General features: G+C 44.4%; 3 annotated features.

The window, feature by feature from the left end:
- Positions 10,253 to 10,547: an enhancer, noted in NCBI's record as "tiled region #2640; HepG2 Activating DNase matched - State 5:Enh". NCBI's record gives its function as "activates a minimal TATA promoter and a strong SV40 promoter by Sharpr-MPRA in HepG2 cells {active_cell/tissue: HepG2}" and the evidence as "EXISTENCE:reporter gene assay evidence [ECO:0000049][PMID:27701403]".
- Positions 12,003 to 12,052: a silencer, noted in NCBI's record as "silent region_11288". NCBI's record gives its function as "represses an Ori minimal core promoter by ATAC-STARR-seq in GM12878 lymphoblastoid cells {active_cell/tissue: GM12878}" and the evidence as "EXISTENCE:reporter gene assay evidence [ECO:0000049][PMID:35858748]".
- Positions 16,367 to 16,676: an enhancer, noted in NCBI's record as "active region_15493". NCBI's record gives its function as "activates an Ori minimal core promoter by ATAC-STARR-seq in GM12878 lymphoblastoid cells {active_cell/tissue: GM12878}" and the evidence as "EXISTENCE:reporter gene assay evidence [ECO:0000049][PMID:35858748]".

Below are 16,943 nucleotides of genomic sequence, written 5' to 3'. Positions count from 1 at the left end.
GGAGAGAGAATGAGTATCTGACAAGGTAGCACTTAAATTCATGCCAAGGCTGGAAACAAAGCAAATAGATAAACAAAATAATGCTTAATGGGAAAAATATATGTATTTTTTTGACGGTCTCATTCTGTCACCCAGACTGGAGTGCAAGGGCGTGATCTCGGCTCACTGCAACCTCTGCCTCCTGAGTTCAAATGATTCTCCTGCTTCAGCCTCTGGAGAGCTGGGATTACACGTGCCCACCATCATGCCTGGTTAATTTTTGTATTTTTAGTAGGGACAGGGTTTCACCATGTTGGTCAGGCTGTTCTTGAAGTCGTGACCTCAGGTGATCCGTCTACCTTGGCCTCCCAAAGTGTTGAGATTATAGGCATTAGCCACCATGCTCGGCCACTGTGCTGGTCTTGAAACATCTTTTGAAGACAGGGATCTTTGTGACAGGAGAGGTATATTACTCTTTAAAGGTCGGGGGCATGCATGAAGCTCCACACTTGTGGAGATGAGGTTGCCACGAGCTCTTTCTTTTCGCAAGGCTGGACTGGACAAGCAGTTGCAACAATTCAAAGTTCCTAGGACACATAGGGACAAGTTTTTAGCACCATTAGAAGTCAGTGTCAGGCCGGGCATGGTGGGTCACGCCTGTAATCCCAGCACTTTGGGAGGCTGAGGCGGGCAGATCATCTGAGGTCAGGAGTCTGAGACCAGCCTGGTCAGCGTGGTGAAATCTCATCTCTACTGGAAATATACAGATTAGCTGGGCATGGTGGAACACGCCTGTAATCCCAGCTACTTGGGAGGCTGAGGGAGGAGAATTGCTTGAACCTGGGAGGTGGAGGTTGCTGTGAGCTGAGATCACACCTCTGCACTCCAGACTGGGCGAAAGAGCGAGACTCTGTCTCAAAAAAAAAAAAAAGAAAAAAGTCAGTGTCCCACAGGATGACTTCCTGACAGAAGCCTGTTCTTGAGGCAAAGACAGTTGGCTCTTCCAAGTAGGAAAAATGGTTCTTGGGGAGTGGCCATCAGATGTGGCTGAGTTCATGTCTGCCCACTAGCATCTTTAGGTTCTTTCAGGCATCATGGAAAACTAGAAATGCATCTGCAGATTGGTCCAGGGGGTACAAAAGACAAATCAGAGAGTTAACTGTGGTTGGTCTAAAGGTCTTGTTTTGATTTTGCAAGCCACGTATTTGGGATTCCTTCATTGATCATGTGGTGTCACTTGCTTGGTCAGAACATGTTTTAAGTGATAGAAAGGATACTAAATTCTGATGCTGGAAATGTTTAGTGAGAGCATTTTTCTTTCACCTCCATTCCCTTCTGTGCCTCGCAGGTCATCCACCATGTTCATACATTTTGCATGAGATAAACTCATTGTTTGTGTTGCCAGGAAGATTCCCATTAGCAGAATATTTGGGAAATGTGTCGTAACATCCTGAATGAGGGTTGCCAAACAACCATTGCGCCCGATTATTTTTTCTGGCACTTTAGATACTTTTTTTTTTTTTTTTTTTTTGAGACAGAGTATCACTGTCGCCCAGGCTGGAGTGCAGTGGAGTGATCTCGGCTCACTGCAACCTCCATTTCCCGGGTTCAAGCGATTCTCCTGCCTCAGCCTCCCAAGTAGCTGGGATTACAGGCAACTGCCACCATGCCTGGTTAAATTTTGTATTTTTAATAGAGATGGGGTTTCACCATGTTGGGCAGGCTGGTCTCGAATGCCTGACCTCGGGTCATTCACCTGCCTGGGCCTCCCAAAGTGCTGGGATTATAGGGGTGAGCCACGAAGCCCAGCCTAGATACTCTTTAATCACCTTTCCAATGTAAAAAAAAAATTCTCTTCAAATTAGTTTTTCTCCAAAATTGACACTCATGCCAGGATATGGACACACACAAAATATTGCTGCAATTGAACATACAAGGACTCAGTAGCCATAAGGGTGCATTTCAAAACTTTTGGATACTTTTTAAAAACAGTACTCTGTTTTTTTAGCTACTTTGCCTCTTTTCATATGTAATGTTCCTTTGTGCATAACTATCTTTGTTGGTTCAGCTTCTCAAACTGAGCAGTGGTTAATTGTGGGTCTTTCAAGCTGTCCAAATTGACATTTGATGTCATATCCAACGTTCAAATAAGAATCCTTGTACTGACTGGGTAAAGAGGCTCATGCCTGTAATCCCAGCACTTTGTGAGGCCGAGGTGGGAGGTTTGCTTGAGCCCAGGAGTTTGAGACCAGCCTGGGCAACATAGTGAGACCTCATCTCTACTAGAAATTAAACAAAAAAATTATCCAGGCTAGGGCAGAAGAGGTCAAGGCTGCAGTGAACCATGATTACACCACTACACTCCAGCCTGGGTGACAGAGCAAGATTCTGTCTCAAAAAAAAAACAAAAACGAAACAAAACAAAACAAAGAAAAAAGAAAAAAAATGAAACCAAAAAAAGAATTCTTGTATATTGATCACACTCTTACCAGCTTCTATGACTTAGGGCAACAGAAACAAATCTGAAGGTGTTCCCCTTTTGGCACTTTGTGAGTTCCCTGCCCCCTGCCCCAAATCAGACAAAGACATCACAAGAAAAGAAATCTACAGAACATCATCCCCTATGAATACAGTGCAAAAATATTCAAAAATATTAGTAAACAAAAACTAGCAGCTTGGCTGAACACAGGTTCTAAAAACAAACAAAACAAAACAAAAAACAACAAAAAAACACTAGCAGCACACAAAAAGGGTTTTACACCATGACTAAGTGGGATTTATCCCAGGATTGCAACTGTGGTTCAGCATATGCAAATCAATTAATGTGCTATGCCACATTAATGAAATGAAGGGGTGAAACCATATGATCATCTTAATAGATGCAGATAAAGCATTTTACAAAATCCAACACCCTTTCATGATAAAAACACTCAACAAACTAAGAATAGAAGGGACATTCCTCAACCTGATGAAAGGCACTTATGAAAAACTCACAGTTAATACTATTATAATTAATGATGAAAGACTGAAGTTTTCTCCCTAAGATCAGGAATAAAACAAAGATGCCTATTGCTGTCACTTTTATTCAACCTTGTACTGGCAGTTCTAGCCAGAACAATTAGGCAAGAAAAATATATATAGAAGTCATCCAAATTGGAAAGGAAGAAGTAAAACCACCTGCATTTGCATACAACATGATTTTGTATATAGAAAATCCCAAAGAATACACCAAAAATACTATTAGAACTAAGAAACAGGCCGGGCAGGTAGCTCACACCTGTAATCCCAGAACTTTGAGAGGTGGAGATGGGTGGATAACTTGAGATCAAGAGTTTGAGACCAGCCTGGGCAACAAGCAAGACTCCATTTCTACAAAAAAAAATTTGAAAATCAGCTGGGCATAGTGGCGCACACCTGTAATCCCAGCTACTCTGGAGGCTGAGATGGGAGGATTGCTTGAGCCCAGGAGGTGGAGGCTGCAGTGAGCTGAGATCACACTATTGCATTCCAACCTGGGTGACAGAGGGATACCCTGTCTCAAAAAACAAAAAAAGAAGAAAAAAATTAGTAATACAGTTACTTATATAGCATATTTTTGTCTTAAAATTACGTCAGGAAGTTTTTATTTCTATATTATTCCAATAAAAACAGATGCATGAGAAGAAGCACCCCCTTTTCTCCTGTTCTCCTTTGCTGGATCAAGTCATATCTTCACATATTGTCTGGAATTGCTACAGCTATTTTGAAACCCAAAGTGAAAGCATCATCAACCTGCTGAGGATAGCAAGGCAGAAAGACAAATTCATCGGTGGACCTGGATCTGTGATGACTTCATCAAGGCTCTGAGCCAATCGTGGACCACCTGGCCTCCAGACATCATCTTATGTGAAATGATGGCTGTCCTTATTGTGTAAGCTATTTGGTTTGAGTATGTTCTGCCTAGCAGCTAGAAGCGTCCAACTGATGCCAATGCTTCTGGTAAAAGTTGTGATTAAAGCAGATAACGGTGTTAGCTGACGTGCTGATAAAATCGGAATCAGTACATGGCCAAGTCATGGATCTGGTGGAAAGTATTCAAATAGATCAATGCATGCTTGGTGATGCTGGTGCCTGTCATCATAAACATCCATCCAGGCCATCATGATCACCTCCGAATGGTACAGGACTAAAGTCCAATTCAGGATCTACACACCCTGCTTATAATAATGCCCTAACTTCCTTTGAAGATGAAACGCATTTCTCTGTGTTCTTTGAACTATTGTACAGAAAAACTTCCCCAGGAAACTCTTTGAACTCATATTTGTTTGTTTCTCATTAAACAAAACAAAAAAAAAATTGGCCAGGTGCGGTTGTTCATGCCTGTAATCTCAGCACTTTGGGGAGCTGAGGCGGGCGGATTGCTGAGCCCAGGAGTTCAAGGCCAGCCTGGGCAACATGATGAAACACTGTTTCTACTAAAAAATACAAAAATTAGCCGCGTGTGGTGGCATGTGCCTGTAGTCCCAGGTACAGGAGGGAGGCTACAGGAGGCTGAGGTGAGAGGATCACTTGAGCCCAGGAGCCAGAGGTTGCAGTGAGCCGCGATCACACCACTGTACTCCAGCCTGTGCAACAGAGTGAGACTGTCTCATAAAGATAAAAAATTTAAAAACTGGCCAGGTGTGGTGGCTCATGTCTGTAATCCTACCACTTTGGAAGGCTGATGTGGGCAGATCGCCTGAGGTCAGGAGTTTGAGACCAGCCTGGCCAACATGGTGAACCCCTCTCTCTACTAAAAATACAAAAATTAGCCGGGCATGGTGGTGCATGCCTGTAGTCCCAGCTACTCAAGAGGCTGAGTCAGGAGAATCGCTTGAACCTGAGATGCAGAGGTTGCAGTGAGCCGAGATTGCATCACTGCACTCCAGCCTAGGTGACAGGACGAGACTCTGTCTCAAAAAAAAAAAAAAAAAAAATTAAAAAACTAAAAAAAATTATACATTTCATATAGTTTACAAGTCAAATAACCTAAAAAGGCATACACTTGAAAGATTCACTCTCTTGGTGGTGTGTGGCGCCTGTAGTCCCAGCTACTTGGGAGGGTGAGACAGAAGGACTGCTTGAGCCCAGGAGTTCAAGGCTGCAGTGAGCTGTGATAATGCCACTGCACTCTAGCCTGGGCAACATAGTAAGACCTCATCTCAAAAAAAAAAAAAAAAAAACAAGACTCACTTTCACCTTATCCCCCATCTGCTCCAGTTTCCACTAGAACAAGTAACTGCTTTTTATTGTTTTGTGTGTGTGTGTGTGTGTGTGTGTGTGTGTGTGTGTATCTTATGCAAATAAAACAGAAATGATGTATGATCTGGTAGCATAAAATACACACTGCTTTGTACTTTTCGTCTTATCCATTTAAAATCTCTTTTCACATTACTGTCACAGCAAAATATGAGAAAGAACTGTTTCCCATAGAGCATGTTGTCAAACTTTGAGTTTTTATCCATATGATAGGTGAGATGGGTTTTTTTTGTTTTGTTTTGTTTTGTTTTGTTTTTAGAAGGAGTCTCACTCTGTCACCCAGGCTGGAGTTCGGTGGCATGATCGCAACTCACTGCAACCTCCACCTCCCAGGTTCAAGTGATTCTCCTGCCTCAGCCTCCCAAGTAGCTGGGGCTGCAGGTGCGCGCCACTGTGCCCAGCTAATTTTTGTATTTTTAGTAAAGACAGGGTTTCGTCGTGGTCGCCAGGCTGGTCTTGAACTCCTGACCTCAAGTGATCCACCCGTCTCAGCCTCCAAATGTGCTGAGAATTACAGGTGTGAGCCACTGTGCCTGGCTATGAGACAGTATTTCAGTGTAGCTTTAATCTACACTTCCCTTTATTATTAATGAGCTGGCCTCTCTCTTTGTGTTGCTAACTGGCCATTTGTATTCCCTTCCTGAGATCTGTCTGTTTATATTCTTTCTCCATTTTTCTATGGGGTTTTGGTCTTTTTCTTAATGATTTCTAGGAGCTCTTTAAATATTAGGGAGATTATCCCTATGTTTATGACCTGAGCTCAAATACTGTTGTCCAGTCTGACACTTGCCTTTTGATTATGCTGATAGTGATTTTTGCCTTGCTGATTTTCTTCACACTATTTTTAGGTTTAGAAGTAGAACAGGGAGGGCTGGGTGTGGTGGCTCATGCCTGTAGTCACAACACTTTTGGAGGCCAAGGCTGGTGGATCACCTGAGGTCGGGAGTTCGAGACCAGCCTGACCAACATGGAGAAACCCCATCTCTATTAAAAACACAAAATTAGCCAGGCGTGGTGGCACACGCCTGTAATCCCAGCTACTCGGGACGCTGAGGCAGGAGAATCCCTTGAACCCGGAAGGCGGACGTTTCAGTGAGCCGAGATCGCACCATTGCACTCCAGCCTGGGCAACAAGAGCGAAACTCCATCTCAAAACAAAGACAAACAAAAAAAAGAAGTAGAACGGGGAGAAGGAGCCAGGAAGAAGACTGAGTTGATTAGGAAACCTAGAGAAGTGTTTCAAGAAGGATGGAGCTGGGAGTAATGCCAGAGGCCAAAGTGGAAGGATTGCTTGAGGCCAGGAGTGAGCTGCCAGGCTGTACTGAGCTATGATCACACCACTGCACTCCAGCCTGGGCGACAGAGTAAGGTCCTGTCTCTCAAAAGAAAAAAAAAAAAAGGAAAGAAGAGAAAAGATGGAGTAGTGAAATCAAATGATGCCCAAAACACAAAAACATAGCGACACAAGACCACAGAAATCGACATCAGCTTTGGCAAAAGGGAGGCCACCAATAACCTTACCAGTGCTGTTGTAGGAGTGAGCTGGAGATGGGCTCTTGATTGGAGTGAGTGAGTGAGGAAAGACAATGGAGACAGCAATAATAGAGAGCACTTAAATTTTTTTGCTATGCAGCAGGCCAGGGAAATGTGGTGGTAGTTAAGGTGGGGAAGTGGGGTCAGGAGTTTTGTTTAATGGGAGATGCCATGCTAGAGAGTGTTTGCATGCTAATATACGTGAGAGAAATGATCCAGTGGAGGGCGAGAAGCTGAGGATGCAGAAGGCAGAGGGAATAATTTTAGGAGTGAGGCCCTTTGGAAGAGCAAGAGGGGGTGGGATTCTGGCCCCAGAAAAGAACAGGCCTCTGGTGGGAAGGGGCGCATCACCCATGGTGAGCCTGGACACGCCAGCTGGGAAATGGGTAGCTGTGGTAACAGCCACATTGCACCTTGGTGAAATCATAGCTCACTGCAGCCTGGCGCCACCATAGCTCACTGCAGCCTTGTGCGACCACAGCTCACTGCAGCCTGTCTGAAAACAGGGGATTACTGCCTGATTGCTCTTGTTTTTGTCATGAAGTACGTGGTGATGGCAAGCTGAGAGGTTCTGAGGAGAAAAAAGAAGGCGAGAAATAAATGTGTTAGAATGTAAGAAAGAAAACATATCAGGGAAGATTGCCACAGAGTGTTGAGTGCCTATTTGAGATTTTTGGTTGAGAATTTTGAGGCAGGCCAGTGAACACAATCGTGTATTCATTTCCAGCAGTGTTCAGATGAAGTGTAGAGTGGGAAGACCGTGCAGGGTCGGGATGTTGCAACGCAAAAACAGTGGGAGAGGAGGGGTAAGGGATAAGGATATTTGCAAAGGAGCAATTACAACAATGAACATAGAATCTGGGATGAATAAAGAGGAAGTAAGGACACGAGGGAAGATGGTTAGTAAGACAGAAGGAAGCAAATGAATTAAAGGTCTCAAGAAGACTGAAGAAATACTGGACTGCAGGCATGAGACTGAGATGGAAGGATAAGACATAGGGATCACAATATCCAATCAGAATGCTTAAAATAGAGATTCTGAGAATGGTGTATTATTGGTTTTGACAAGGTTAAGGGCATGACCATAGAAATGGGTGGCTGAAGAGAGAAAATAGAAAATTGCATTTGAGGAGGTCAGAATCTAAGATGCCAAGATGTTGGATAAATCATCCATTTGAGTGTTGAAACCAAAAAAATGATGACAAGAATAGGATAGAGAGAAAGACAGTCAGATGATAAAATCTTCAATGAAAGACAGGGAATGACTCAGAATTTAGTAGAAGTTGCCACCAACAAAGGATATTGGGGGACAAACCAGAGGGTACAAACTCTAAAGCCCCTGGTGTTTTTGAAATAGAAGGGAGAAGAAATCATTGAAAAGCAGCAATGAGGAGTCGGATGGACACTTACTTCCACGCCCACAAAATCCTGGGTTTGACTCTCCTTGGCATAAATGGGGTCGTGTCTAAATCGAGATCTGGGGTGCAGTTCGTCCCTCTCAAACCACACGGACTTAGCTGGGAGAGGACATTGAGATATTATTGCTAGAAGGGGAGGAAAATCTTATAGTGTGTTAATTTCTTGTACAGTTTTGTGTTGATGCTAAAAAACATTTCCGTTACTTCTTTTGGTTCGGTCTCATTAAAAACCACTTGTTTGAGTTGTTCGGTTTAGTTTTCCTTCTGCAGATTATTGAGTCATTTAAATGGATTGTAGTTTTCTCTAACTTACTAACGATGGGATATTCCCATTCAGAACAGGCAGCCAGGGTCTCTTGGACCAGGGTGAAACACCAGGAATTGGAAGATGAATGTTTCATCCTGGTGGGACGCAGCTAAAAAGCTGCCCCGTCATGACCCTCCACTGTCTGGGGAAGGGGTCTCCCTGAGTGGATGCACTGGGGAGCTCATGAATCAGTCAGAGCAGTCCCTCCTCTTGTCTGTGTGGCAGCATGGGGGACCCTCCCAAGATACAGCGAGTGGTGGGGCAGCCCCTTGGAGTTCCCTCTCAGGGGACTCCACGGAGGCCTGCCAGGTGAGTTCCCTCAGGGAACCTGAGGCTTGCAGCCTTTGTCCCAGACTTCCAGGAGAGGAAAAGTTGTCTCCACTGTGATCCTTGCGTTCATGCTCAGGGGCATAAAAAAGAAAGTGGCATATGGATCTTGAGAGAAGGCGTGGCCTGAGGCACCGCTAGAATGTTCACTCTGGCTGTTCCATGGCTCCTGTGAGGATGTCAGGAAAGGTAGGGGATGAAGAGTACATGCAGGCCAGCATCTTCCCATCCCTGCACATCTGACTGGTGTTTTTTTGTTTTTTTTTTGAGTTGGAGTTTCACTCTTTCACCCAGGCTGGAGTGTAGTGGCGTGATCTTGGCTCACTGCAACTTCTGCCTTCCAGTTTCAAGTGATTCTCCTGCCTCAGCTTCCCGAATAGCTGGGGCTACAGGCACGTGCCACCACGCTTGGCTAATTTTTGTATTTTTAGTAGAGACGACATTTCACCATGTTGGCCAGGCTGGTCTCGAATGCCTGATCTTGTGATCTGCCCGCCGATCTGCCCGCCTCGGCCTCCCAAAGTGCTGGGATTACAGGCGTGAGCCACTGTGCTCAGCCCTGACTGGTCTTTAATGGAGCCTACAGACAAGCTGCACGTGGTGCCCTGCAGACCACACCTACCCCTCAGCCATACCCCAGCACCCACGGGAGACTCAATTCCCCTTTCAGATCTAACAGGTATTGGAAAGAGGAAGCATTGTGCAGTGGCACTTCAGAAAAATCCATGTAGGTCCTTAAAAGAAGCAAGAAAGGGAGCTGATAACACTAGTTTTTCCTGAGGGAGATATGATAGCCAGGCTACACAACCAGGATCCCAGGAGTTATCTGGTCCAGATCTGGAAGTGACATGATGTACCGCTGTCGCAGGTATAACATGAATGCCTGCTGAATACATTTGACAATGCAAAGATAAGACATCAAGCCAGGAGATCTTCTGGATAATAGAGACTACTCTGCCCCAAGATAGGCACAGCCAAGCCCCAGCCTGGATAGTATTCATGAGGGCCTTAATGGAAATGAATGGGTCCCACTTAAAAAAATAAATCAGAAAACAAGCTCACTGAATACAACTGGGGTGACAAAAACATGCATCTGAGTGGAGACAGAGGAAATTTCTATCCATTTCTGCCCAATCTAGTGCCTCTGGGCAGAACCAAAAGCCTGGCAAAATCTAGAATTTATACACTACGAAAATCTTAAGAAAATATTCTGGCTCTAAGAATAAATAAAAATAGATTTTAAAATAAGCAGTTTGTGTTCTTCTGCTTTATTTAGACATAGATTTAAATGGTAGGAATCATGTACTTAACCCGGTTAGGAAAATTATATATCACGAGGCGTTTTTTTTGGGTGGGGAGGATGGACTGGGTTTATGATAATTCATAATGTTTGCTACCCACCTGCCAGGGGAAGGACACTGAAAGATCATGGCCCATCAAGGCCTTAGGTCATGCTGCTCTGCTTGCAAATTGCACAACTTTCCTGTTAATTTGCGGGGCAACTTTTGCACACATGTTTACAATCTGGTTAAAGAATCAGCCCTTGCAATGATGTCATTAAACGCACACAGACACAATGGTGCCATAGTAACAACAAGGTGCCTCTGAGCCAGGTGCATTGGCTCACGCCTGTAGTCCCAACACGTTGGGAGACCGAGGAGGGAGGATCCCTTGAGCCTAGGAGTTCGAGACCAGCCTAAGCAATATAGTGAGATTCCGTCTCTACAAAAAAATTAAAAAATAAAAAATCAACTGGGCATGGTGGTGCCCCTGTAGTTCCAGCTACTCAGGAGACTAACGTGGGAGGATCACTTGAGCCTGGGAGGTTAAGTCTGCAGTGAGCTGTGATTGTGCCTTGGGGGCAACAGAGCAACACCTCGTCTCAAAAAAAAAAAAAAAAAAAAAGTGCCTCTGGAGCTGGAAATTTTCAAGTTCAGTTGCTCCAGCAACTGGGGAGGGTCATGAAGACTATAGGAAAGACACTACTGTTCCCATGCACATTCACAGGAGAGAAAAAAAAGTCCAGCAAGTACCATGTTCATAAAGATTGGCCTGACCCTAGCTGTCCCATGGCAAACAGTCACACCCAAGACTCTCAGCTTTCTTTGGCTCTGATTTGTTTCTGTAACCATGCCAAGATGCCAAGGACAATCAACCAAGCAAGGCTGTGAGGATCTGCAAACTATTGCAGCCCTCAGATTCCCTACTTAAAAGGGAAATAACTGGGCATGGTGGCACGCACCTGTAGTACCAGCTACTTGGGAGGCTGAGGTGGGAGGATCCCTTGAGTTTAGGAGTTTGAGGCTGCAGTGAGCTGATTGTGCCACTACACTCCAGCCTGGGTGACAGAGCGAGACCCCCCTCTCAAAATAAAAATAAAAATAAGAAAAGGGAAGTAATACTGTATGTAGTCCAGAAACAGGTCAGACGCCAAAAGAATCTTATCTGGGCTGTTGTATGAGTCAGGGTCCAATTAGGAACATAAAAACCACACCAGTTATTATAACAGAGGGAATTTAACGGTAAGGACTGCAAAGGCAAAAGACAAATTCCAAGGAACAGAGAGGTGGCAACTGAAGGACGTAGAGCGGTGGAGTTAATGAAAGAAAAAGGTGGGAGTTACTGGAACCTAGAAGCTTGGAGGAGCCCTGCCGAGGTGGAACTCAGGCTTCAGAACACAGAGTGCTGTATAACTGGTGCTGGCATCTTTGAAGGGGCAGGCTAAAGGCTTGTACTTTTTTTTTTTTTTTAATTGAGACGGAGTTTCGCTCTGTTGCCCAGGTTGGAGTGCTTTGGTACAATCTTGGCTCACTGCGACCTCTGCCTCCCAGGTTCAAGCGATTCTCCTGCCTCAGTTTCCTGAGTAGCTGGGATGACAGGCACGTGTCACCACGTCCTGCTTATTTTTGTATTTTTAGTAGAGACAGGGTTTCGTTGTGGTCTCCAGGCTGGTCTCCAACTCCTGACCTCAAGTGATCCACCCGCCTCAGCCTCCCAAAGTGCCGGGATTACAGGCGCTAGCCACCGCGCCCAGCCAAGGGTGGTTCTGAGAATGGGGAAAAAGTTGGAAACTTAAACCAAGTGGGGCTGCCGGGTTAAAGAGCTGTTGCCACCTTGATAGGGGGGCGCAAGAAGTAAACTGCAAGAAGCAAATCCCCGCTCCCTCCTCCCGTCTTGCGGGCTTCCTCTAGCACCCTCTATTGGTGGAGCCCAGCGAAGTGCCAGCTGGCAAAGCAGAAAGTGGTTTGCAGAACCTCAGCCCCAGCGCCATAGGAAACAAAAGCAGGGTTCCAGCTTGGGGCTATTACAAATAACGCTGTTATGAGCGCTCTCATGCATATCTTTTTTTTTTTTTTTTTTTTTTGAGACGGAGTCTCACTCTGTCGCCCAGGTTGGAGTGCAGTGGCGCAATCTCAGCTCACTGCAACCTCTGCCTCCCAGGCTCAAGCGATTCTCCTGCCTCAACCTCCTGAGTAGCTGGGACTACAGGCGTGCACCACCACGCCCGGCTTATTTTTTTGTATTTTTAGTAGAGACGGGGTTTCTCCATGTTGGCCAGGCTGATCTAGAACTCCTGACCTCAGGTGATCCGCCCGCCTAGGCCTCCCAAAATGCTGGGATTACAGGCGTGAGCCAAAGCGCCCGGCCTTAGGTGTGTTTATACCCTGGATTTAACAGATACAGATATTAACCATTCTGGTGGGTGTGTTGTAGTATCTCAAGATTTCAATTTGCATTTTTCTAATAACTAATGAAGTTGAGCATGTTCAGCCATTTGGATATCCTCTTTAGAAAGTGCCTGACCAAGGCCAGATGAGGTGGCTCCCGCCTGTAATCCCTGCACTTTGGGAGACTGAGGCAGGAGGATCCCTTGAGCCCAGGAGGTCGAGGTTGCAGTGACCTATGATGGTGCCACTGCACTCCAACCTGAGTGACGCAGAGAGACTCTGTCTCTTTAAAAAAACAAAAACAAAAACAAAAAAACTGTGTTTCTAACCCATTTAGCCATTTACTACTGAATTATCAGTCTCTGTCTTATTGCTCTGTGGGGATTTTTAATACATTCTTGATAGAAGCCCTTTTAAATATGTGAGTTATATGGCAAATAGTATCTTCTCCCAGTCTGTGAACTTGTCTTTTTCACTCTCTCAACGGTATCTTGTGATGAATAGGTGCTCCTAACTTTATGTAGTATAATTTCTCACTCTTTTCCTTTAGAGTTAATGCTTTTTGTGTCTTCTCTAAAAAAATATTTCCCTATTCCAAGGACATGAAGGTCTTCTCTTATAATCTATTCTTCTTTTTATATTTTCCATCTCTTTCTCCCTACGAACTGAAATCTGGTTAATTTCTAAAGATCCGTCTTCTGATTTGCTAGATCTATTTCTTTTTCTTTTTCTTTTCTTTTTTTTTTTTGAGACGGAGTCTCCCTCTGTCGCCCAGGCTGGAGTGCAGTGGCATGATCTTGGCTAACTGCAACTTCCGTTTCCTAGGCTCAAGTGATTCTCCTGCCTGAGCCTCCAGAATAGCTGGGACGACAGGCGTGTGCCACTATGCCCGGCTAATTTTTTTGTATTTTTGGTAGAGATGGGGTTTCACTATATTGCCCAGGCTGGGCTCGAATTCCTGACCTCAACTGACCCGCCCTCCTCAGCCTCCCAAAGTGCTGGGATTATAGGCATGAGCCACTGTGCCCAGGCTGCTAGACCTATTTCTAGCAGTTTCTAATCATCCACTGAGTCTCTAATTAAAATATCATATTTTTAATTTCTAGAAATTCTATTTTTTCCCAATTCTGCCTGGTTATTTTTGACAGCCTCTTATTCCTGCATTGTCTTTTCAGAATTCTCTTTCTTTCCTTAAACCTATTAAACATCTTTACTGTATATTCTATGCCTAAACATTACATGATTTGCAATCCTCTCAAGTGTGATTCTAGAGTTCAATGGTACGGCTATTGCTCATTTAGAGTGACATGCCTCCTTCTGACTTTTAAAATTGTTTGTTGTAAGCTCAAGGTTGTTGGAATTGTATCCATGGGAATCCTTCAAAGCATGGATTTATTTATTACTTATTTTTATTGAGTCAAGGTCTCGCTCTATCACCCAGACTGGAGTGCAGTGGCCTGATCATGGGTCACTGCAGTCTCAACCCCCGGGGCTCAAGCAGTCATCCCACCTCAGCCCCCTGGGTAGCTGGGACTACAGGCATGTGCCACCACACCCAGCTAATTTTTGTATTTCTTGTAGAGGTGGGGTTTCACCATGTTGCCCAGGCTGGTCTTAGACTCCTGGGCTCAAGCCATCGGTCTGTTTCAGCCTCCCAAAGTGCTGGAATTACAGGTGTGAGTGGCCGTGCCTGGCCACTGCATGAATTTAAAACGTGTTCCTCCAGAGAAGGTTTGCACCTGCTTGTGCCAGGAAACACTACTAAATCGTGACCACTTTAAAATTTTGGCCTCCCCCACAACAAAACATCCTTACTGAGGGTGTTGCCTTTTGAGGATCCCAACTTTGTGACAGAGTCTCTGATCCAACTTCCCATTTCGAATGGGCCCTAGGTGTTGTCTCCTGTCCCCAGGTGTGGCCCGTAAGACCCAGGCCTTGGGCACCAGGAATTTGCAGATATTGCAAAGGCAGCACTGACTTGAGTGCTGGCTTACCATTTTTTGCTACATGCTTCCTTATTCTTTCTCTTATTCTTTTCCCTTACTTTTCTGCCAGGCAAGCAATACTTTTAAGAATATGTTTTTACGATTTTAGCCATCATTTTGAGTTTCTGTACCAGGAGAGTTTCTCTGAACATCTAGTCTACCATAGTGTCAGAAATGGGTGGAGGCTTGGGCCTTTGTTACAAGCAGGTTTTTAAAGGCAAAAAAGAGGACAAGGAGTGGGCTGATACAAAGTTGTTTGTCAGGAATTCTCATTGGTTTACAGAAATAACATTGATTAATGATTGGCTGTACAGTGTTGAGCTATAGAGTGTGGGTTATAGAGGACCAGAAGTGGCAGGAAATGGAAGAACAAATCTTAGAGGAGCCAATTTGGGGAGGTTTTAAGCTTTCTAAAAAGCCAATTAAGTTTTACATTTTCATCAGCAAAATCATGCCAACCAGAAAGCAGAGGGATCAAACTTTTTTTTTTGTAAGAGGTGTCAATCAACTAAAAAAAATTCCCAGAAACAGAATCCAAAAGAGAAAAAGCAAAGAGCCCCCAGCCTCACATATAGCCTGGGTATTGGCTTGTAAACAGAAAAACCAAACTCTGTGAAATATATTAAAGAAGTTTATTCTGAGCCCATATGAGTGACCATGGCCAGGGGAATAGTCTCAAGAGGTCCTGAGAAAGTGTGCCTGAGGAGTCAGGTTACACTTTGGTTTTACACATTTTAGAGGGACAGGAGTTACAGGCAAAGATATAAATCAATACATAAAAGGTATACATTGGTTTGGCCTGAAAAGTTGGGACATCTTGAAGTGGGAGCTTGCAAGTCATGGGTGGGTTTTAGAAATTCTTTAGTTGATGGTTGAGAGAGTTAAGCTATTGCTTAAAGACTTGAATTCAGTAGAAAAGAATGCTTGTGTTAAGGTAAGAGGGTCAGGGCAGCATGGTGGCTCACACCTGTAATCCCAGCACTTTTGGAGGTTGACATGGGTGGATCATTTGAGGTCAGGAGTTCAAGACCAGCTTCGCCAACACGGTGAAACCCCCTCTCTACTAAAAATACAAAAATTAGCCGGGCCTGGTGGTGCACGCCTGTAATCCCAGCTACTTGGGAGGCTGAGGCACAACAATCCCTTGAACCTGAAAGGTGGAGTTTGCAGTGAGCCAAGATCATGCCGCTGCACTCTAGCTTGGGCAACACAGTGAGACTCTGTCTAAAAACAACAACAACAAAAATGACAAATAAAAAAGGGAGTCACGGGTGCCAAGGCCCTTATTATGGAGATGAAGCCTCACAGGGACCAGCCCTCAGAAAGAATAGATGGTAAATGTCTCTTTTCAGATTTTTTAAAGTGTCAGCCTCTCAGTTAATCTCTCCTAGATCTTGGAAAGGCCTAGAAAGGAAGACCTGGTTGCAGTGGTGGAGATTCTCTACAGATACAAACTTCCCCCACGAAAGACAGCTTTGCAGGACCATTTCAAAGTATGCCAAACAAATACATTTTGGAGTAAAATATTTTTATTTCCTTCAGGGCCTGTAATCTGCCATGTGGTGCTAAGCCACAGTCAGGTTGGAAAGTAAGCCACAGTATACTGCGTTAATTTTAAAAACCCAGTTAATGAGATTTTATGGTTTGTTGGGTATGATTTAACCCTTGCCTTTCATGGCCTCTAGCAGTTTCTAATCATTCATTGAGTCTTTAATTAAAATATCATATTTTTAATTTCTGAAAATTCTATTTTTCCCCCAATTCTGCCTGGTTATTAGATTTGTTGGAAATAAAGCTCAGGAAATAAAGCTTGCAAAGGAAATGAGCACTCAGATAACTTCTCTGCAAGGCAAAATTTTACTTCTATAGAAGGGTGCTACCTGCATGCAAGGCAGAGGCAAGGGAGCACACTGAACAAAGGAGAGCAGGCATTTTTATCCCTAATGCAGACCCTGTTCCTGGGTCCTCCCCCGGTTGGCTGGAGTCAGACCGCACGATCTAAGCTAATCCCGATTGGCTAGTATTGACATCATCGAAGGAGGCAAGGGTGGGCACTTGATGGGAAGGACGGGCACATAGGTGATGGGACATGCTTGGACGTGTTTGGGTGCAACAGAGATAGGGAGGGCTGATAGATGGACAGGTAACATTACTTTCAGAATAGAACAAAGAACCAGGAACTGAAACTTTTGAAGAGAAACTGTTTGTGCCTAACAGATTGTTGTTCAAAATTTGGTATCTTATTGCCACAGATACTCTCTTTTGCCAGTCTTATAATCCCTGTTTTAACCACAATGCTTGTCAGTTGTGCCTAAACACCAAAAGGGAGGAGGGGTATAACAAGACATGTCGGACCTCACTTCCCACTGTAAACCAAAAATAAAAGTCTAAACCCCCAGTCATCTGAATGGACTCCTCCTGTCCCTAAAGGGCATTCCAAAGTTAACCT

The sequence above is a fragment of the Homo sapiens genome, chromosome 2 (genome assembly GCF_000001405.40).
Source record: "Homo sapiens chromosome 2, GRCh38.p14 Primary Assembly".
Classification (NCBI taxonomy): Eukaryota; Metazoa; Chordata; class Mammalia; order Primates; family Hominidae; genus Homo; species Homo sapiens.
The sequence above is the reverse complement of the archived record's forward strand: the minus strand, read 5'-3'. Positions and strand labels throughout refer to the sequence as shown.